The 23,689-nt window shown below is 39.1% G+C and overlaps 1 protein-coding gene across 3 annotated transcripts in view; it reads left to right on the plus strand.

The window, feature by feature from the left end:
- VWC2L (von Willebrand factor C domain containing 2 like) overlaps positions 1-20,242 on the plus strand; it is a 167,923-nt gene extending 147,681 nt beyond the window's left edge. For all 3 annotated transcript variants that reach the window (NR_159945.1, NM_001080500.4, NM_001345929.2), the window contains one exon: positions 16,938-20,242. Coding sequence is in view for 2 of the 3 variants with exons in the window: in NM_001080500.4 (NP_001073969.1) it covers positions 16,938-17,086 (149 nt within the window). In the remaining variant the exon portion in view is untranslated. The remainder of the gene's footprint in view (positions 1-16,937) is intronic.
- The last annotated feature ends 3,447 nt before the right edge of the window (positions 20,243-23,689 follow it).

Here is a 23,689-nt window from a genome sequence, read left to right on the forward strand (position 1 = left end):
ATCTATGTAAAAAGTAAATTGGTTATGTCGTGGTTGCAATTGCACCTTAGATGCAATACAAGTACCAACTATAGTTTTGTTTTTTTTTTTTAAATTTATGCTTTAAAATTTTCCCTTTAGCTAGTGTTTCTTTTTTTTAAATTTTTTTTATTATACTTTAAGTTTTAGGGTACATGTGCACATTGTGCAGGTTACTTACATATGTATACATGTGCCATGCTGGTGCACTGCACCCACTAACTCGTCATCTAGCATTAGGTATATCTCCCAATGCTATCCCTCCCCCCTCCCCCCACCCCATCAGAGTGAACAGGCAACCTACAAAATGGGAGAAAATTTTCACAACCTACTCATCTGACAAAGGGCTAATATCCAGAATCTACAATGAACTCAAGCAAATTTACAAGAAAAAAACAAACAACCCCATCACAAAGTGGGCGAAGGACATGAACAGACACTTCTCAAAAGAAGACATTTATGCAGCCAAAAAACACATGAAAAAATGCTCATCATCACTGGCCATCAGAGAAATGCAAATCAAAACCACAATGAGAAACCATCTCACACCAGTTAGAATGGCAACCAACTATAGTTTTTTAAAAACAGTAAGAACATGCTCCTATCTGTCTCTACTTTTATCTTTTGGCCCCCTCCCACTGACTCTACCCTGGGTTGTTGCAAATGCTTTCCCATATCCCGAGCTTCCACTGCAGATAGAAGCTGTTCCTGTGGGGCTCTGCTGCCTGATGCCTCTCACTGGCCCCTCCTTCTCCCACCACTTTCTTAAGGCACCCGTCTTGGACTTCTACACTAGATTAAATCCCCTTAGTATATGAACTCTTTATTTTTCACAAATTTAATCCCATTCTTTTCTTTTTTCATTTTTTTTTTTTTGAGATAGATTTTACTCTGTTGCCCAGGCTGCAGTGCAGTGGTGTGATCACAGCTCACTGCAGCCTTGAACCCTTGAGCTTAAGCGATCCTCTCATCTCAGCATCTCAAGTAATTAAAACAACAGATGTATGCCCAGCTAATTTTTTTAAAAATTGTAGAGACAAGGTCTAGTATGTTGCCCAGGCTAGTCTTGAATTCCTGGCCTCAAGCCATCCTCCAACCTCAGCCTCCCAAAGTGCTGGGATTATAGGCATGAGCCACTGAGCCCAGCCTAATTTTTAATATCTATTTATACCACATCCATACAAGAAGGAAATATGTTTGTCTTGTTGAAGTTATATTTCCAGTGCCTGAAACAATGGCTGGTACATGGGGAGTAGTTAATATTTGCTTATAGAATTCTAAATTATCATGTTATTATGATTTAAAACAAACTAGCCTCATTATACATTTTGTGGACTCTTATTTATACTGATCTTATTATTTCTGTTTGATAGTTGCTAGCTATCTACAGCCAGTTAGTTTATGCATTAAAGAAAATGCCACTTTGTTGCTTAATTTACCAACGGCATGTGTAATAATGTGTTACTATAAAAACCATGGAAATGTTAGCAGGGCATCTTTGGTAGTATGTTCCAGTAATGAAATCACCTACTCATCTTTTTTTAGTTATAAGGCATTTTGTGTCTTTGAACACAGAGAATAAAAATAGGAAGTTTTCTGCTTCGTTGTGGTGTGTGGGTGGGTGGGCGTGTCTGTCTGTAGTAATGTTCCACTTTGTTGACAAGTGTACTCCATGTCCCATGTCCCTTTCCCTGAGTGAGAACATGACTTCCATTGTGGTGTGTTATGCATATCAAGCATATCATTTTAATGAAGTGAAAATAGGTTTTAAATTTTTTCATCAAGGAACTAGGCAGTTTTCAAAGATGATACTAAATTAATCGTCAGAAGTAGAAGGTTTGTTGCTTAAATTTTATGTTTTATATGAAAGCTGGACAAAACTGAGTAACACTATTTTTTTAACCTGTTTCAATCCCAAAGATAAATATATACTATTTTCTGTCCAGTGATAACTGGCTTGTTTTTCAGTAAGTGAGGTCATTAAAGCACCCAAAATGGTTCCGAATGCCAAGTTTCACACATGTCTCCTTCATTCTCAAGCTGTCATGTGGGCTAAAATCACACTTATCAAAGAAACACAATAATGACAGCTCAAAGGCTGATGCTGAGACTTGCAAGTAATTGAACCATTTAACCACCATGTACTTGCTCAGAATTTCTCCTCAGAAATGACCCTTTGCTAAAAGTCTGTTCTTGTAGCATGCTGAATTCATTGCCTTTTGGATAAGCTCCATATATTTTGAAACTTCTTCCAAAACTCAGACTATGTTCTCTTCCTGGTTTCCAATGTTAGGGTTTTCATCCAGGCACTGCCTTATTCTAAAGCAGTGGTTCTCAAACTTTAGCCTGCATCAGACTTATCTGGAATGTTTGTTAAAAGACAGATTGCTGGGCCCCATACCCAGTGTTGCTGATTCATTAGGTGTTTGATGGGGCTGAAGAATTTGCCCTTCAAAGATATCCCCACTGATACGGATGCAGTTGATCAAGCACCCACCCTTTGAAAACTCCTATCGTAAAGAGATGCCCTTGTTCATTACACCTGGCATTCCTCCCTGCCAAATTGTACAAAAATTGGTTTCCTCTTGGCCACCTGTCATCTCATCCTTCCATAATTCTTCTAGGCTGGTGCTATGTAGTAGAAATACTATGTGAGCCACACATGTAATTTTTTGTGTCTAGTAGCCACATTTTTAAAAAAGTAAAAATAAAGAGAAAAAATTAATTTTAAGAACACATTTGGCCAGGCGTGGTAGTTCATGCCTATAATTTCAGCACTTTGGGAAGCTGAGATGGGCCAATTGCTCGAATCCAGGAGTTCATGTTGCCTGAGCAACATGGCAAAATCTTGTCTCTACTAAAAATACAAAAAATTAGCCAGGTGTGGTGGCATATGCCTATAGCCCCAGCTACTCAGGAGGCTGAACTGGGAGGATCACCTGAGCCTGGGAGATCAAGGCTGCAGTAAGCCAAGATCACACCACAGCACTTCAACCCGGGCAACCAGAGTAATACCTTATCTCAAAAAAAATTATATATATATATATATATATATATACACACACATATATAATTTTATATATATAATTTTTCATATAATTTTATGTATATATCTAAATTTAATATATCAAAAATATTTTCAACATGTAATTGATATAAAAAATTAATGAGCTATTTTACATTCTTTTTGTCTTATGTTCAAAGCACACTAAGTCTTTGAAATCTGATGTGTTTTTCTTTTTTTAATTTTTAAAGGTCTGTGGTACATGTACAGGCAGAATATGCAGGTTTGTTACATAGGTAAACATATGCCATAATGATTTGCTGCACCTATCAACTCATCACCCAGGTATTAAGCCCAGTATTTATTAGCTATTTTTTCTGATGCTCTCCCTCCCCCAACTACACCCCCCAACAGGCCCCAGTGTGTGTTGTTCCCCTCCATGTGTTCTCATTGTTCAGCTCCCACTTATAAGTGAGAACATGCAGTGTTTGGTTTTCTGTTCCCGTGTTAGTTTGCTGAGGATAATGGCTTCCAGCTCTATCCATCTCCCTGCAAAAGACGTGATGTCATTCCATTTAATGGCTGCATAGTATTCCATTGTGTATATGTACCATATTTTCTTTATCCAATCTATCATTGATAGGCATTTAGGTTGATTCCCTATCTTTGCTATCGTGAATAGTGCTGCAATGAACATACGCATGCATGTATCTTTGTAACAGAATGATTTACATTATTTGGGTATATACCCAGTAATGGGATTGCTGGGCCAAATGGTATTTCTGGTTCTAGATCTTTGAGGAATCAGCACACCGTCTTCCACAGTGGTCAAACTTATTTACATTTCCACCAACAGAAGTAAAACTGTTCCTATCTCACCAGCATCTTTTTAATAATTGACTTTTTAATAATTGCCATTCTGACTGGCATGAGATGGTTGGCATCTCATTGTGGTTTTGACTTGCATTTCTTTAACTATCAGTGATGTTGAGCTTTTCTCTGCATATCTTCTTTTGAGAAGTGTCTGTTCACGTCCTTTGCCCACTTTTTAATGGGGTTGTTTTTTCTGGTGAATTTAAGTTCCTTGTAGATTCTGGACATTAGACCTTTGTCCAATGAGTAGATTGCAAAAATTTTCTTCCACTCTGTAGGTTGCCTGTTTGCTCTGATGATAGTTTTGCTGTACAGAAGATCTTTAATTTAATTAGATCCCATTTGTCAATTTTGGCTTTTGTTGAAACTGCTTTTGATTATTTTGTCATGAAATCTTTCCCTTGCCTGCATCCTGAATGGTGTTGCCTATATTTTCTTCTAGGATTTTTATGGTTTTGGGTTTTACATTTAATTCTTTAATCCATCTTGAGTAAATTTTTCTATAGGTGTAAGGAAGGGGTCCAGTTTCAATTTTCTGCATGTGGCTAGCCAATTCTCTCAGCACCATTTATTAAATATGGAATCCTTTCCCCATTACTTGTTTTTGTAAGGTTTGTAAAAGATCAAGTGGTTGTAGGCCGGGTGCGGTGGTGCACGCCTGTAATCCCAGCACTTTGGGAGGCTGAGGCAGGTGGATCACGAGGTCAGGAGATCAAGACCATCCTGGCTAACACGGTGAAACCCCATCTCTACTAAAAATACAAAAAATTAGCCAGGTATGGTGGCAGGTGCCTGTATTCCCAGCTACTCAGGAGGCTGAGGCAGGAGAATGGCATGAACCCAGGAGGCAGAGCTTGCAATGAGCCGAGATCCTGCCACTGCACTCCAGCCTGGGTGACACAGCAAGACTCCGTCTCAAAAAAAAAAAAAAAAAAAAAAAAAAAAAAAAAAATCAAGTGGTTCTAAATGTGAAGCCTTATTTCTGAGTTCTCTAATCTGTTCCATTAACATCCCTTCATGTTAAAAATCTCAATAAACCAGGTATTGAAGGAACATACCTCAAAATAATAAAAGCCATTTATGACAAACCCACAGCCAATATTACACTAAATGGGCAAAAGCTGGAAGCACTCCCCTTGAAAACCAGTACAAGACAAGGATGACCTCTCCCACCACTCCTATTTAAGATAGTATTAGAAGTTCTGGCCAGGGAACTCTGACAAGAGAAAGAAATAAAGTGTATTCAAATAGCAAGAGAGGAAGTCAAATTGTCTTTGTTCACTGATGACATGATCCTATATCTAAGAAAACCCCACTGTCTCAGCCCAAAAGCTTAAGCTGATGAACAACTAAAATCAACGTGTAGAAGTCACAGGCATTCCTATACACCAACAACAGACAAGCAGAGAGCCAAATCATGAATGAACTCCCATTCACAATTGCCACAACGAGAATAAAATACCTAGAAATACAGCTAACAAGGGAAGTGAAGGATCTCTTGAAGGAGAACCACAAAATACTCCTCAGAGAAATCAGAGAGGACACAAACAAATGAGAAAACATTCCATGCCCATGGATAGGAAGAATCAATATTGTGAAAATGGCCATACTACCTAAAGTAATCTATAGATTCAATGCTATACCCATTAAACAACCATTAACATGCTTCACAGAATTAGAAGAAACTATTTTAAAATTCATATGGAATCATAAAAGAGCTCATATAGGGAAGACAATCCTAAACAAAAAGAACAAAGCTGGAGGCATCACACTGCTGGACTTCAAACTATACTACAAGGCAACAGTAACCAAAACAGCATGGTACTGGTACAAAAATTGATGTTTTTTTTTATATTTCCAGCACATCTCAGGTTAGACGGGCCACATTTCAAATTCTCCACAGCTACGCATGGTAGTGGCTACTGAATAGGCAGCACAGCACTAGAACTTTATTGTCAAAGAAACGGGGAGTATTGAAGGCTTTGTTTGGCCTTCCTGTGACTTTCAGCACATTTCCTCTTCTAAGATGTGCCTGGTTGCCAAATACATTATCATTTTAATAATAGATTGTAAGGAAAGAAAGGAAGCACTACAACATTAAATGTATGCATTGATTTAAAAATGCATGCCAATATCAGAATTTCTTTATTTTTATGCCCCAAACCAAATATATGTCATGATGCCCTATTTTGGTGCAGTTTTTAATTTGTTTTTTCTGCTGCCCCTTTATCCTACACATCTCCTCCCTCATCAGTAGCCCCTTTCCCTAGCAAGACAGTGTTACCAACATTGGTATTCATGCTTCTTTAGCTTCTTTGTTTTCCTTCCATCCTCATATAATCCTATACAAATATGCACCAAAGTTTGTCTACATTTGTTTTACTAAAATAGGATCCTATTATACCCACTTATCTGCATAATCACTTTCTTATTCAACAATAACTCATGGAAATCCCTGCAAGTCAGCTGGAAGTTGTACTTCATTCTTTCTAGTGACTGCAGAAGAGTCCATGGAGAAGGGTACCATAATTCAGTATTTCTGTGACTGGCAGGCATTCACATTTTTTCTCAGTTTTTTAAGCAATAAGAAAAAAAACTTCAAAAACCACTCTACATAAATAGATTGAAAGATAGATATTTAGATAAATATCTTTGCCTACTCTTTTATTGAGCTTGCAACCTCTTTGTTATCCCTTAACTTAGACTTTCTCCCATCACATCTGGGCCCTTTATTTTCAACCAATGAAAGCACTTACCATTAGCAATCACAGCAAACCATTTTCATTTTCTTAATGACTCCCTCCTCAGTCAACAACTGAAACAGACTAATATACCTCCCCTGACCCTACCTAATGATGTGCTGTCTATTCAGATGTTTTCATTCGTCCTGCTTCTTGCAGACAGAAAATCCACATAGAAAAGATTTCACTGCTATATGCCCTCTCACTGTGCAAAAACTATTCATGACATGAACAAGATTAATTTCTTCATTGATGTCTTGACATTTTTTTAATAAACATTAGAAATCAAAGGACCTGGATTCTATAAAGTAGTACAGACTGTAACTCAGGTAATAACAATAAGTAGAATCATAAATAGCAACAACTTAACATTTTTTTGTGCCCTACTGTGTGACAGGAACTGTTCTAAGTGCTTTGCATATGTGAATTCATTTGTTCCTTCAAAAAGGAAGGAAACTGTAAAGTACGTTCTCTTATCACTTTATTATTATTCCCACTTTTTGACTGCTGACATTGGGTTCATGCAGCCAGTAAATGGTAGGAGTAGAACTGAAACGTGGACAGTCTGGCTCCAGGGTCCTAATTTTATCCTTTTACTCCTATCTCTTTGAACCACAGTGTTCTCAGCTGTAAAATGGGTGTTACAGGAACGATACAACCTACTTTTAGGATTGCTGAGAAGAAATAGGACAGTGATTTGAAAATCATTAAAAGATCTAACAAGGTGGGGTTAGTCTTGTTTCAGCTTGGGAAGTTTGGCTGAGAGATTATTCCATCATTCAAAGCAAAAACTAAGCAGATTAAATGTTTTATAACACAGCAAATCAAACCATTTTCTGACCACAAACATCCTCCTGAATGTGAGACTAGACAGCTACAGCTGGCAAACGTAGGACCCGAACTATGCCAGGTTCTCAGAGCCTGCGAATTTTCCTGAAATTAGGAAAAGAGCAGCCAACCTTTACTTCTATTGTGCAGCTTGACCACGTCCTTCCTCTCTTCACGCCAGCCCTTGCATTTTACTTAATTGGAACACCAGGCTATAAATCTTACATACTTAAGGGCCAGAAAACTCTCTAGAGCTCTCAGACTGAAATTTGTGTGGGAGTTCAGCAATACTGAATTTTCAAATAAAATGATTAACAGGCACCTTTAAGGCAGCCTTAGAGAAAACAATATTTCCTGCATCTTGCCACCTTAATCTAAGGAAGCTGTTTGTTTTTAGGTCTAATAAAAAGGGTTTGGAAGTAACACAGGGATGAGTGAGTAAAATCAGATAGAGGCCCTCTACTCTTTGGTCTGGAAGCTCCCTCCAGCAATAGCAATCTCATCACCACGCTCTTCCCAGGCACCAAAAGGGCATCAGAGCATGATACTAGAAGGTTTAAGGCACTTAGTACAATTTTAACTGCAATCAGCTCTAATGACTGGTTTTTAGAAACATTTTTTCTAATATTTTAATAGATGAAAATGGCTACACCTGATCAGAAATCCTATTTGATTTTTCATAGCACAATAGCATCTATCAGACTGCACCAAGCAGAGAATTAAAATCATTGAAGAGAAAGGGCATAATCCAACTCAATTCAACCCCACAGACTAAGGCCTACAAGCCTACTATTAGCTGAAACAATGATTTAGATGCTCTGCCAAATAAATATAGGATGTTTATGGCTTTACACAATAGGAACCTGCCTCATTTATGCATCAGAAAGATCATTTACAGCCAATTTCTAAAAGACACTAAGTGTCAATAATAAATTTTCAAATCAAGGCCAAAAATTGCTATACTCAAAAGAGGAGCATTAGGCAATATGAAGTTGTTTCCAAGGAGGATTTAAAATCATAAAAGATCAATAAAGTGGTCCTGACCAGCCTGGCTTTCCTAGTCTCTGGGAAGTAGGAGTCTCAGCTTTAAAAAGGATCTGGGTCGACAAACAACAGAGCAGGGTATCTAGTACTGAAAGATCAGATCTCTGTAACAACCTGGCTGCCTTCCAAGATAATTGCTAGAACCACATTGCCTTCCTGGCCATATGTGCTTCACAGGAGCAAATCTTGCTTTGCAGTTTAGAGAAGAGATTGAATAGAGCTACTCGAGAGGCTGTTTCTCTGCCCCACATGGGGATTTTGTAGCTGGACTTTCCCCTATCATCCATTCACCCCTTCATCCACATACACACACACACACACACACACACACACACACACACACACACACACACAGAGAGAGAGAGAGAGAGAGATAATTAAAACATCATAGCCTTTTACCTCTGCTACAGCAGCATCATCCCAGGTGCTATCAAAACTTGGAGGAAATGAAAAGTAGTTCTAACTCACAGAAAGATGGACTTCTGGGATGGAGCACAGAAAAAAATGGTGCTGTATCCCACCCCACGCACTTATTAACTGTGTGACTCTGAGAAAGCCACTTGACATTTCTATGTTTTATTGTCTCACCTGTAAAACAGAAAAAATAATACTCATGAGGAGAAAATAAGGCCATGTATAAAAAGCTCTTGAAAAGAATCTTCAAAGTGTTAACAAAATTGCATGTTATCAACTAAGTCTGGATTTTGTATGAGCTTCCTACAAGAGAAAACTGGGGAGTCAGGAATAGGAAAATATATGATTATGAAGTAAATATTAGCACATAAATTCTCTGAAGTACTCAACCGAGGAAACGGAATGTGAGGGCTGAAATTTAAACTCTCTTATTGTTTAGTTCTCTGCCCTTTAACAAGTCCCTTAATTTCTCTGAGCTTTACTTTCCTCACCTGTGAAAGGAGATCATGATAACCACTTTTTAGCAATATAGTGAATATGTTCTATAAACATTAGTTTCCCACTCTGGATCTAGGACCTTGACTATGTGTCATTTTTATCTCCTCCATGACTTGAAATGGTCCTGTTAATTTGTTTTTGTGCATTTTGCCTGATTTACCCCATTTAAATGTCAACTCCCTGAAGGCAAAAACTCTTATTCATTGCCACATCACTACTGCTTCTAGAAGTCTTGTTTGGAATGAGTATTTATATTATTATGTATTAGTCTGTTCTCACACTGCTAATAAAGACATACCCGAGACTAGGTAATGTAAAAAGGAAAGAGGTTTAATGGATTCACAGTTCCACATGGCTGGGGAGGCCTCACAATCATGGCAGAAGGTGAAAGAGGAGCAAAGTCACATTTTACATGGCAGCCAGCAAGAGAGCTTGTGTAGGGGAACTCCCTTTTTTAAAACCATGAGATCCCATGAGACTTATTCACTATCACAAGAACAGCACAGGAAAGACCCATTCCCATGATTTGATTACCTCCCATGTGGTCCCTTTCACAACAGGTGATTATGTTGCCTCCAGGCTTGGTTGTCTTGGCTATTCTGAATATTCTGTGGCTACAACTTCCTTTAATAAGTGTATTTTCTGCTTAAATTATCCAGGGTTGGTTTTGTTGCTTAATAGATAGGATCCTCCTCTTCTCCCAACAGCCTGGTATCTTAATCCTATTGCATGTGACCCTGGTCTCCTAAGGGACCCCAACTGTGTTGTCCTCCTAGAAATTACCTCCACCCTCCAGCCCTTTTCTTCTCCCTCCCCCAGATCAAACTGCACATTTTTTCTAGGGGCTTTTCCCTTAGGACTTTACTCTTTATAAAGGATAATCTCATAAACTAATTCAAGGCAATGTGCTAATTGCTGACACTAATTTGATATTACTCCAGCATTTCAGTAGATACTTCCAATGCCTCAAAGCAAAGGAGAAAGGAATGTGTTTTCATTACCATCACACAGTTCCAGGGCCTGTGAGGGCTCTAGTCTTTGTCTGCAATCTTAAGAGCCCTGCATCCATCAAGGCAGCTCCTGTCTATTTCATCCATGAGTGCTCTGTGGACCAATCATATAGCAACCATGGTGCAGTTAATGAAATCAATGTCTGTATTTCATGGTAACACACACACACAGACACACACACACACACCCCTACATAAAATCCTTCAGTGACTTCCCAATGCTTTATCATGGCCAACAAGGCCCCCAGTCTAGTGGATGTGTCCAAAAGTATTTAACAATTGGCTAGAGGAAGAAACCCTAATTTTAGCATTTTCTGATTTGGGTGACATAAAAACACCCACCATGGCCAGTTTCAAGCTATCAAAATAGTGTCAATGACGTTATAAGATTCCTGAAGAGTTAACTATTTGCTCTCGCAAGCCAATATGAGGCACCAGCTCCAGTACATAACTGTCCCAACTTGTCTTCCTGGCCACTTCACTGACATCATCATGTTATGCCTCACTCATCACTTCAACCCCATTAGCCTTCTACAGCCACTCAATGGCTCCTCATCTGCACCCCGACACACACCCAGCCTTTCCATAGTCTAGGTCAGGCTCTCTGCTACAACCTTCCACAGCTCTGTGATCCTCTCCTTTAGAGCACTTACTTCAGGTTATATATTTACTCCCCTTAATGCAATCATGTGATGTTTAATGCTTAACATCGTAAGTAAACACAGACTGGAAGAGGTGTAACCAGGGTGGCTATCAACTTCCTTTTCCATCCAATTTTTATGCACCTTTTTATGGGGAAATTTCAGGGCTTACCAGGAAAAAAAAACTGCTCAGCTCTTAATACCACAAATATGACAGAGACCCTTCAATTTTCTGCTGGTTTTGTAGAATCCTGGATGATTGAAACTGGAAAAGATCATTTTAAATGCTTTTTCTCTGATTACTAGATACACTGGAAGGTGCTTTATGGTCTATCTTGAGGAGGTTGAGGTGAGAAGATGGAATAAAAAGGGGCTGAAAGGATAGAGCCCTGGGCTCTCCACAGCCACCTCACCAGAGCAACTCTGCTGTTATATATTTCTCATATTGTTCTTCCTTGTAAGATTTCTTTTGAATGATTCCTACTGTGGAAAAATGTTTACCAACCAGTTTTCATTTTATAGATGTGCAAAATATGTGCTCAAAGAAAAACAGAATGTGGAAAATTATTATTATTCGAGATAGGGTCTCACTTTGTCACCCAAGCTGGAATGCCATGGCGTGATCTTAATTCACTGTAGCCTCAACTTCCTGGGCTCAAGAGATCCTTCTGCCTCAGCCTCCCAAGTAGCTGGGACTGCAGGGGTGCACCACCATGCCCAGCTAATTCTTTGCATTTTTCATAGTGATGGGGTTTTGCCATGTTGCCCAGGCTGGTCTCAAACTCCAGCTCAAGCAATCCACCCACCTTGACCTCCTAAAGTGCTGGGATTACAGGCGTGAGCCACCATGCCCGGCAGGGAAAATTACTTAGGTGTTTCATTTAAAAAAAAAAAGTTTTCATGTGTGAATTTTCCTACCTTTTCCTCTTTGCTCCTAGCTCCAACTCCCAGTAAAAGATTCCATCTCCAATTTTATCACATTTTCACAAATATGAATCCTGAGACTAGACCACTTAGGCCCCCATTTGTGTGGGGGTTACAGAGCACTTGAGCTGATAAGTCATAGAACCTCCCAGGTCTCCTGAGTTATGGGCCACTTTAATTCTGCTTTTTGGTTGGTCTATGTCCAGCAGCAGTGAGAACTTCACTGCTGTCAAAAGGGAAGTCTAACTGCCCAAGCATCTTCTCCAAGAGAAATTTCCTTTAGTTTTAAAATAAATTATGTTTTCTGAAGACTATATAAATACACAATATAAAACCAGTAAACCTGATAAAGACCTATAGAAAAACAATCTCACTTGTTTCTAGCCACATCAAATTTCTTGCCTCAGTATGCAAACACAAAAACCAACTAGACTTCTAAATTCTGATCAGAAGCTCAGGATCCGGGCAAAGGAATACAGTAATGCACTCCTAGCTACCTGTCTCTTTTCCTGGGCTATTAGAAGCATCCTCTATTTCAGAGAGATATGAATTCATATCCCATTGATGCCATTTCCTGGATGTGTGATTTCTGGCAAGTTACTTTTTATCTGTGAGGTTCAGTGTCCTGAAGATAAGAACATGCACTTTTTATGTGGTTTGTTGTAATAATTAAACGAGACAAATTCCTGGCTTGAAGTAAATGTTCAAGAAATTATCACCATGTGTTTTCATTCATTATCAAATACTCCTATATATTTAATACTAACACTAGGCTTGATATATAAAGCCTGATTCCTAAGTTCAGAAAATAAGTTCACTTCCAATATATAATTAGTTTATACTATTTCATTCAGTTAAACAAATTTATACTTTCCTAATATTTGTCAGACACAGTAGTAGACCTGGACCATAAGAAATAACAAACCTTCAGTTCCTGTCTTCAAGGATCTGACAACTTAAACCATACCTGACAGATAAGACCGATATTCTCTCTCATTCTCTTTCATTCTTTCATTCACATTCTTTCATTCATATTCTCTCTTTCTTTCATTCATATTCATTCTCTCTCTCTCTCGATTCAGGGGCTCCCTGTATTGCCCAGGCTGGAGTGCACTGACACAACCTTAGCTCACTGCAGCCTCGACCTCCTGGGCTCAAGCAATTCTCCACAGTCAGCCTCCCCAGTATCTGGGACAACAGGTGCACACCACCACTCCTGGCTTTCTGTTTTTGGTAGAGACAAGGTCTCACTATGTTGCCCAGGCTGGTCTCAAACTCCTGGGCTCAAGTGATCCTCCTGCCTCAGCCTCCTAAAGTGCTGGGATTACAGGTGTAAGCCACCACAACCAGCCTACCTCCTATATTCTTAAAGATCACTAAAAGAGAGGCCCTCACCACATTGCTGGCAACTACTACATTCAGTTCTCAGTCCTCTGAAGAATTCACATGATGTGTAAGTGTGTTCAATTCATTGAGAATCAATATGTCTCCATTTTCTCTTATTCTAGACCCCAGAAGGAGGAGAGAACAGTTGTTCACCATTTTTTACATAATAAGCCTTCATTCTTTGAGAGTTATTGAGTTATTCCTCCATCTTCTCTTTCTAGATTAAATAATTCCAATCCCCTTAACCTTTTCTCAGAGGTCCTATTTGCCAGCCTTCAGTTTAATCATTTTCATTGCTCCCCTCTGGAGTCTCTCCAAATCCTCTGCATTAAAATACGTTGCTTTGCCATTGAATTCACTCTTTTAAGAAACGTATTCCCTTATTTCGACCAAGACAAAAAGAAATCAGTCCCCAAATACAAGGTAGACAGTAGATAGAAGGGTAGATTTCCTATGTAAAGAACTCATGGTGGGCTTTCATATGCTCAAATCAAATTTGCATTTACTGTCACCACTATTAAGGAAGAAGGGCTAAAACCAGAATCATTTTAAATAGTGCCAACCATTCTGCCTGACAATTATCTAAATTACTTTTAAGCAGATAAGACTATTAACAGCAAACTTGAGACTTCTGTAGTTACACCTAAGGTTCTCAGACAGGTACTAATAAAAAATCACTGTACTACTAAAGCTAATGAGATCAAACAGGAATTTTTGATTCTGTAAAATACCTCTGGCCATCAGGTAGAGGTAAGAGCTTACCATATGATTTACAGAAGTGCCTTTGGTTAGGCCTGGCACGTGCAAAGATCTTTCTTTGCATTCTGTCAATCAATATACAGTCATTAATATTTCTTGAGCTGAGAGTGCAGCAAATTCTAAATGACTCTTAAGAAATGGTGTATAGAGGTTAGTCAAATACACACTGACCGTAGTACGATACCAGCATATGCAGAAAGGGGTGGATATGAAAACCAGAGCTCTAGTAAAATATCCCTTCAGGATAAGCATAGAAATTTGTAAGAATTCTCTTTTCACAAAGATTCCTCCCTGCCTGTTTCTCTTATTGTGCCACTGATATTACCCAGCCTCCCGTGAGCCAGTAGCATGTCTCTACACATACACATACACACACACACACATACACACATACGCACGCTCACACGGTTAAGATTCTTCTGACTGTCGAATATCCAAATCTTCTCAAGAAGCTGGGAAAACTCTTACTGGATAATATCTTGCCTGGTTCAGGGACTTCTTTTAAAACCACTATTTAGAATTTTATTTTCCCATGTGGAAAAGTTAAAAGTATACAATTGGGGTAAACAGACTTGGTTACAAGGGGACAGGTGGCAAGAGGAACCACTGCCTCCTCCGGTTTGACTCCAGGCAAATAGGTGGTAGTTCACTCTAGTATGATTATTAAAGCTAGGTTGGCCCTGGCAAGACCCTGTTTGGCCTAGAACTGGCTGGGCTGAGAGAGGTCTGTCAACAACGGCCCCAGGAGAATGAGCTACATTCTGGAAAAACCTCTCTGCCAAGTTCTCTGAAGACTCCCTCAGTTCTGAGTCCAGAACAAATTCGTGGTTTAGTGTTGAATTTTCCCAGGGAGCTGTAGACCCAAAGGCAGTCCAATCTATCGAACAATGACTTAAATCCCAAGACCTATGGAATTAATATTGTAGCCCTTAAATAATCAGCAATAAGGATGGCCAGTGGCTTAGAATCATAGAATCAGAACAAGGCCAGGCGTGGTGGCTCACACCTGTAATCCCAGCACTTTGGTAGGCCAAGGCAGGTGGATCGCCTGAGGTCAGGAATTCGAGACCAGTCTGCCCAACATGGTGAAACCTCATCTCTACTAAAAATACAAAAAATTAGCCAGGTGTGATGGCGCTTGCCTGTAGTCCCAGCTACCTGGGAGGCTGAGGCAGGAGAATTGCTCAAGTCCTGGAGGCAGAAGTTGCAGTGAGCCAAGATTGCGCCACTGCACTCCAGTCTAGGTGACAGAGTGAGACTCCATCTCAAAAACAATAACAACAACAACAAAATGAACAAGAAGCACCCTTCTGGGTGAAGGCTGACAGCTTGCTAGCTGTTTGTCAGAGCTGACCCTTATTTCCCTCCTGCTCTGCATGGCTCTTCACGCTTGAGCACATGCCAAGTGTTTGTGTTACAGAGTGAAGAAAGGCATAGGAACTCCACCACTGGTAAGTGTATGCACTATTGAGGTCTGGGAGCTCTGAAACAATGGGCAATTAAAACCATAACATATTGAATAGCCTTGTGTTGATAAGTATATGTTGTAATTAATTATAATTTTATAAAAAGCAAGACTCCAAATATGAAGCGGAACTACACATAGCCCCAGATTTCATTTATTTGATGGTAAAGACAGTCTTGCTTATCAAGGGGGTAAGAAAGTGAAAGTAGGGCACTGATACTGATATGCATTGCCATGTTACTTTGTAGTGGTTATGGTGAGTGGCCAATAATGCCAGGTTAATAAATCACTGGTAGACACAACTCAACATTCTCTCTCTTTACCCAAATGTGTACCTCAGAGACTTAATACCAAATTGCTTCAAAGAAAGAACAATTTGTACCATCCTACTATAATCCAGTGCACTTTGGGAAGCAATTTTTTTTTCCATTTGAATTTGGGAACTATAGTAATAACAACTAACACTGAACACTGATATTCCTACGTTGGGAAGGTCAAAAAATGCAAGAAAATAAGGGGAAAGTAAGAAAAAGGAGGGAAAGACAGAAAAAATTTTTAAAAACCTGAAATTGGTGAATTTTTTCAACATTCATCTATAATGAGCAGGGGACATTTTCAATAAGGCTTTTGAATGTCAAAAAGTAAAATAAAATTCCTGCTGACTTTCAAAAGCCCACTATTTTGGGTCATTCTTTAAAAAAAAAAAAAAAAAAAAAAGAGCCAGCAGATTAAAGGAAGTCCATTTATAAAAATCAAATGAACCTCTAACAAAGCTTGTTCAGGACATGAATAAATCATCTGGTCATGAATTATTCATTGTTATCAAGAAACAAGCTGGGGATTCCAGGAACTGGGCTGGGGAGGCACTGAAACTGGGGAACGAGCGAGTTTATTGTCTCATACCCACCACAGGAAAAGAGAAGGACAGGCCAAGGGTGCCACCATCTGAGGCCGACCATGTCAGCCCTCCCTCGTGTTTCAGAGCATACGCTGGCAGCCTTTACACCTCAGAGGACAAAACAAATACAGTTTAACCCACAGAACCTAAATTTAGAAAACTGCATGTACTCAGGAAGCAGAAAATACGATTTTTTTTGAAGATTGTCTCTTTTTATTTAAGTTCACAATATACACGGGAAATATGAGCTGTGTGCAAAAGGTAGCAGAGTTGCAACTTTGAATTTCAAGGAGATGGCTAGAAAATTCCTTGATGATAAGTCAGTAGAGTAGTCTGACTTACTCATTTATGGCTTTGGGGCTTGGGTTTGGATGGTGGGGAGAAAGGGAGCCTCTCAGATTTAATCAACTAATCAATGTATCTGTGTGTTTCAGGTCCAAACTGCTTTGCAGGAACGACGATAATTCCAGCTGGCATTGAAGTGAAAGTGGACGAATGTAACATCTGTCATTGTCACAACGGGGACTGGTGGAAGCCTGCTCAGTGTTCGAAACGTGAATGCCAAGGCAAGCAGACTGTGTAGGACAAACTTCCACCCAATGATGAGTTCTTAGGAAAGGATGCTATGGCTTCAACACTGCACATGTTTAACACAAAACAAAACAAACAAACTCCTGCCAGCTACAACAGGGTCACCAGCAAAACTTTCTAGGGTTGACAAAAGTGAATATTTTCCTAAGAGGAAATTTCTTTCTCTCTTGCTATATAAAATATATATAGTATATAGCTATCTAAATCGCTTTTGTATTTACCAATGCTTGATGGTGACTTGACGACTGGATTGCTGGAACAAAAAGAAAGAAATAGCCTTGCACAGGCTCCTTCCCTGGTAATGCCTCTGACCTACCAGCTCACTGTCCCCTGGTTTACTTCATTTTTACTCTTCTGTACATTGTACATGGCATTGTTCTCCTGTAATATTTGTTTTTTCACTTTTAGAGTCTAAGGGGCTAAATTTGACTGCACAGTAAAGTTTTGAGTTGTGTAAAAAAAAAAGTTTGGTAAAGGAATGTCAGGGGAAATATCTTTCCCGAGCTGGGAAACACAAGAGCATCCAGTCAATTGCTCCCCTAGGGTGAATCATGCCCTGTAGACTAAGGAAAGAGGGGTGGGCACATAGACGGGCCTATTGCTGGACAGGGTTGGGAACAAGTACTTTGTCCATTACGTGGGGGCTCACAATTTAATTCTTACAAACCACACATTTCATATGGAAAACCTCGAAACTGCCAATCAAAATCTATTACGTAAAGAACACCATAAGCTCAACTAAAGAATCCAAAGAGAGACAGATCTTTAAAATTGTAGCATTAATCATCAGACTTTTTCATGATGTGAAATTTGAGTTTGGTTTGTAGCTAAACACACTCTAAACTCACTGTCATCAGGCAATATAAATACCAGAACCAGGGTGAGAAAACCCACTGTGAATCCAAATCCTTATGAACATCTCTGGCTTTTGAGTTCAGATTTGGCTAAAAGTCAGTAGTACACACTGGCAGTTTTTGTGGTTCGGGACTGTGTTTGCCATGTTGTAGTAACAACCACTCAGCCCTATGTCTGAAACACAGATTCAGGACACCCTTTCCACCTCAAGTGCTGATTTAAATTAAAGATTAGGGTAGAGTGAGTCTTGCACAATACAATTCCATTTGTTGAACATTTTTTAAAATGTATATATTAGATACTGAAAAATTAAAGTGAACCTTTGAAGAGTCTCTAGGTTGCCCTGGTAATGCTGCTAGTATAGTAACAGAAAAAACAAAACACACAGGGTATCTGATGCCACCTCGATTCAAGTGCAAAATTAACAATTCTGAAACCACATGGCATAGTTAGTCGCTTATTCCATGCTCCTGCCCTAAAAACCCTGGCACAGATCTGATAGGGTCCTTGAAGAGACTTTACAGTTGTCTTTATTATCAATGTTCTTTCTTTTTCTGCTCCCCCAACCTGGGCTTTGCCATAGCTCCTGTGGAGAGCCATATTCTAGAGCAAGGTGTCTCAATCTTAGTAGGATTGACATTTGGGGCCAGATCATTATTCGTTGGTGGGGGCTGTCCTGTGTGCTTTTAGGATGTTTAGCACCATCACTGGCCTCTATCCACTAGCAACATCCCAGCAACTGGTGACAACCAAATTTCTCCAGACATTGCCTAATGTCCCTAAGGAGTGGGAGTGAGGGGCCTAATTTCACCTCGTTGAGAACCAGTGGTCTAGAATAATCAGTATAGAGTGGTTTCTGGCAGGGGACACAGTAGGCAAGCTCTAGCAGCACCTGTGGCTTTTGTGAGCTTCTGATCCCTATGGGACATACACAGTCAGCATTTCCAAGGGGTCAGTCTTCTCCATAGAGAGTGAGGCTTCTAATGCTATAGGCCCACCCTCAGGAAACATATTTTTTTGAGTCTTGTCAACTGGTTTTTCATTTAAAATTGTCAGCCTCTCCTCCCTGGAAGCATCTGCTGTCATCAAGAAAGAGTTGTCATTTCCAAAATTAACGTGCTGACGAGTCAGACCTGACATTCTTATGCACACTGTGCTTGCGTTATGATACAAATAGCCATGCCGGCACCATCCCGAGGAAGAGCATCAAGCCACCTTCCCTTAGAACACCAATTTGCAGCAAGGTTGGTGCCTTTCATTTGCCACCATGGATACATCATATAGACAGTCATGAATCATTCATGAGCAATGCTGCATGATTTATGTCTGCACTCAAAAGTAAAGGAATTCCACACTTTAGCTTATGTCTAGACAGAGATGTATTATAGAGCTTTCTTTGCCCCGAGGTTGCCTGTTGCCAACTTCAAAAATCCACACTCTTGGAAAGAAATAATAATAATAAATGACAGGAATAAGGTTTGAAACTCAGAAAATATCATTAATAGAGCCATGCAGCATAGTACCTTATCTATTATTAAGGAGTTACTATGTCCTTTTTTAGAAAACAGAAAGAGAGTACAACTGGGAAGCTGAAGTGCAGAAATTTTGCATCAAAGCATTGGCACAGCGAGAGTCACAGCAAGAATTTACTAGAATTGAATGGGACATCCATTAAGGATCTCTCTTCAGAGAGTTTGCAGAAAGCAGGCTGTTCTGTGGCCTCTGATAACCAGCTAGAGAGAGGGATTTTTATGGTTGGTTTTGTTGTTGTTGGATTTTCTTTTTCTCAAAGTTTCACTGCAGGCTGTTTCCTTTAAGATTTTGTAGCACTGACATTTTTCCCCCTTTAGGGAGAGATGAACCTATACTGTGACAATTTCTCATAAACTGATAAACATTTTACAACTTCCTTCTACCCAGGTCATTGAGAAATTCTTTCCAGACTCTGAACAACAGAGCTCTGGTCTCATCTGTTGTTTGTTTCTTGTGAAGTCTTTGTTTGCAGCCACACTGTCATCTCTGTACTCCTATTTCTCCTCCGCCTTTGGTTCTCGGCTTTAACAACAGCTATGTTAAAATAAGGGATCAACATCTTGTTTGTCAGCTGATGCCTATTAAAAACGATTCAGTTTCTAAAATCTTTGAAAAATGGCGTGCCTGAAAACTAGTGAGAAAAAAAAAAAACCTAAACACTAAACTGTAAAAAGGGGATTCTAGCAACAATATTTGATGTGTAAAAGAATATATTATTAAAAAATTATTTTGTTAAATATAAAGTGTGTTAACCAGCAAACATTGTTTGTGGTATATTTTCCTTCCCACATTTCTCCTTTCTCCCTACCCTCATTATTTAATGACTAATTCTCGGTTACTTCTATCATTTGAAAGTACATGTGTCATTAGAGCTGTATTCAATTAGAATGAAGCATTAGCTTTTGCATTTGCCTGCACACATTTTCATTTTTCATAACGCAAGGCATTGCTGACTTGGGGATCCGAGAGGAGGCTCAAATAAGCCAGCAGTGACAGGGTAAGTGATAGGAAAAGTCTTTTCCTGACCCCAGATCCATATACTATGCTAACGATAATCTATAATTATTGAGTGCTGGCTCTGAGCCAGGCCCCGTACTAAGCTCTGTGCCCACAGGATTGTATTCAATCCACACAGCACACCTATGAGAGAGGAACTCTTGTCATTTCTGCTTTGTTCTTGAGGAAACCGGAATATAAAGAGGCTAAATGCTTTGCCCAAAGTCACAGGCTAGTAAGTAGCAAAGCAGGAATTCTTTATTATAAAAGTTTTCAAACATATATAAAGAAAATAGCATCAAGAACCTCCATTTACCCATTGCCCAGATTCAACAGTGATCAAGATTTTGTGAATTTTTTTAACAATCCAACAAATGTTTATTAAATAACCAATGCTACTACCTACAGTTCATTTAACGCTTACATGCCAGAGACTATGACTTGAAATTTACTTATATCATCACACTTAATTCTCATGCAACCCCTTTAAAGAGGTAATATTATTCCTAAATTACAAATCAAGAATCTAATAAGCTTGCATATAACAGTGAGATCATGCAGTAGTTTTCATTCTGGTATGGCTTATTTCACTTAATATAATGCCCTCCGTATAATACTTCCTTTATTCTTTACCCCCCTTAAGTCTTTTTTTCTTTTTTTTTTTTTTTTTTTTTTTTTTGAGACAGGGTCTCACTCAGTCACACAGGCTGTAGTGCAGCGGTGCGATTACAGCTCACTGCAGCCTTGACCTCCCTGGCTCAGATGATCCTCCCACCTCAGCCTCTCAAGTAGCTAGGACTACAGATATATCAGGCCTGGCTAATTTTTTTGTAGAGATAGGGTTTCGCCATGTTGCCCAGGCTGGTCTCAAACTCCTGGGCTCAAGAAATCTGCTTGCTGTGGCCTCCCAGTGTGCTGGGATTACAAGTGTGAGCCACTGTGCCCAATCCCTCTTAAGTTATTTTAACCAAATATCAAGCATCGTATGATTTTACCCTTACAATTTGCAGTAATCATCTAAGAAAAGTGACATTTTCTTACAAGACCATATTGTTATACAATATTTTATTAAACCTAACAAAATAAATCCTTAGTATCATTTAATATTTAATCCATATTAAAACTTCTTAGATTTTCTAAAATATGAGAGAGAAGAGATGTTTGCATGATTCAAACAGTCCATAACTTTGGATGTGGTTGTTTTGCCTCCTAAGTTCAGCTATGAATTCTGACAGAGTCCTTAGTTTATTGTTCTTCGAGCATTTGTGTTTCTTAAAGCTCCATGGTAAACTTCTTTCTAGACTGAGCAGGGAAACAGCAGGGCAAGAGGCTTTCTACCAACTGACCTCCAAGGGTCAAAGAGCCCTGGAGCAAGAATTGTTGCTGATGACCAGAACGCAGAAGACAGTGCCTTTGATGTGTATGTAAGCTCTCCTTAGAGAGTAAAAGTAAACTGTTATTTTTCTTCTTCTTGAGACAAACACATTGCTTGATGCAGAGCAAAACTGAACAATATTTTATGAATTGCCATCATCTTCTGCATTGTTGGAGGAAGAAAAAAAAGGGCAACCACTGAGAAAACATCAGCATGGCATTCCCACACACAAGCATACACACCCCAACTCCACTACCATTTTCTTAAAACAAGATTAGACTTTCTTGCATGTCAAAATAGAGAGAAATTCTCTACTCTGTATGTCCATTTTACACGACTGTACAGTTCAATTCAGATTCAAGTCTTATGGAGAGGACACCTCAAAGTATAGAGGAGAAAGCTATGAACTGAGACAAAGTCCTGGGTTTCTTGTTATTTTAGGTTTTATGTTGGGAATATTACTCTTTTAAATAGAGGTATTTTTATGAGTTTGAAAAACAAAATGCTATCTCTGAGCCAGCAATCTCACCTGTACCTTACCAAATTCATAAGGGATTTATACCTTAAATTTGGGTGACACCATTATCAGTGAGCCTCAAACTGTACTGTCTAGTACGAACACTTGATTCTCCCTAATCAACCTTGTACACCTAGAAGGCATGTTGTTATTTTGATGAAACAAAACACAGCTAGCGCCATAGTATCTTTCATGAGAGTTAAATAGATTGAGTTGAATGAATTTCTTTCACTTAATTTTAGAAACTCAAAATTTGCTTTACATTCCAAATATTTTCAGTTGTGGTAATGATATGATGGCTTTCTTAATTTTTTAGAATCTTGAACTCCTAACTGTTTGAAGCCCAAACTCCAATTTCAGTAATCCCAGTACTCACATTACAACCTGGTTTTGAGTAGGGATACTTTCAAAAAACTACATTTCTAGAATAAAGTTTTAGTTTTAAAACCTCCCAAATAATTTTGTGAGTTGGGCAGGATTGGAGAAGAATTTGGATATAAAGTTCAGAGACCATTTATTGAGCCCCTTCTGAGTGGCAGACACTGTACTGGTTACTTCACACAAGACAGTAATTTGCATTCATTAGTCAACCATCCTCATAACCACCATGAAATTATGGACTAGTAATCCCATTTTGAAGACTGCAACACTGAAGTTCAGAGAGGTTTTTTGATTTTCTCAGGCTTCCATGATTAGAAAGAGGCAGAACCAGCTTTTATATCAGAGGGTTGTTAAATATTAAACAGAATACTACCCATAAAATAGTTTAGAATAGGGCCTAGCACAAGAAGCTATCATTATTAAGATTTATAGTATCAGAAAGGAGATCTCATGGATAAGGTGATATTGGATTTGGATCTTGTCAGTTAGATACAATTTGGGCAGATATTTAAGAGAATGATATTACAGAGCAACAAAAAATGAATAGAGTACAGAGTATTTGGAGTGTGAGAAGCAGTCAGGCGTGCTTATAGTGTAAGGCTAGAGATGGGGGCATACAGTGGGAGATCGTGTCTGGGAAGAAAACTCAATTGTTAAGACCTGGAAGATTATGCCAAGAAAATCCAACTTGGTTTTTGTTGATACTATTGATTAATCGACATCAAATAACAGGGTGACGTGGCTGTATTTGTATTTTAAAAACAAATCTGATATAGCGAAGGATGCTTTGGGGCCCAGGGAGAGAGAGGTGGAAACACTGAGGGAGGTAATCACAAAAGTCCAGGAAGAAGAATGAGGGTCTGTTCTGGGAGTGGAAAGACTCAAACAGACCAGCTGGAACAAAAGGACCTTATGGAGGATCAAACGGGAGCTCAAGA

Source organism: Homo sapiens, chromosome 2 (genome assembly GCF_000001405.40).
Source record: "Homo sapiens chromosome 2, GRCh38.p14 Primary Assembly".
In the NCBI taxonomy this organism is placed as follows: Eukaryota; Metazoa; Chordata; class Mammalia; order Primates; family Hominidae; genus Homo; species Homo sapiens.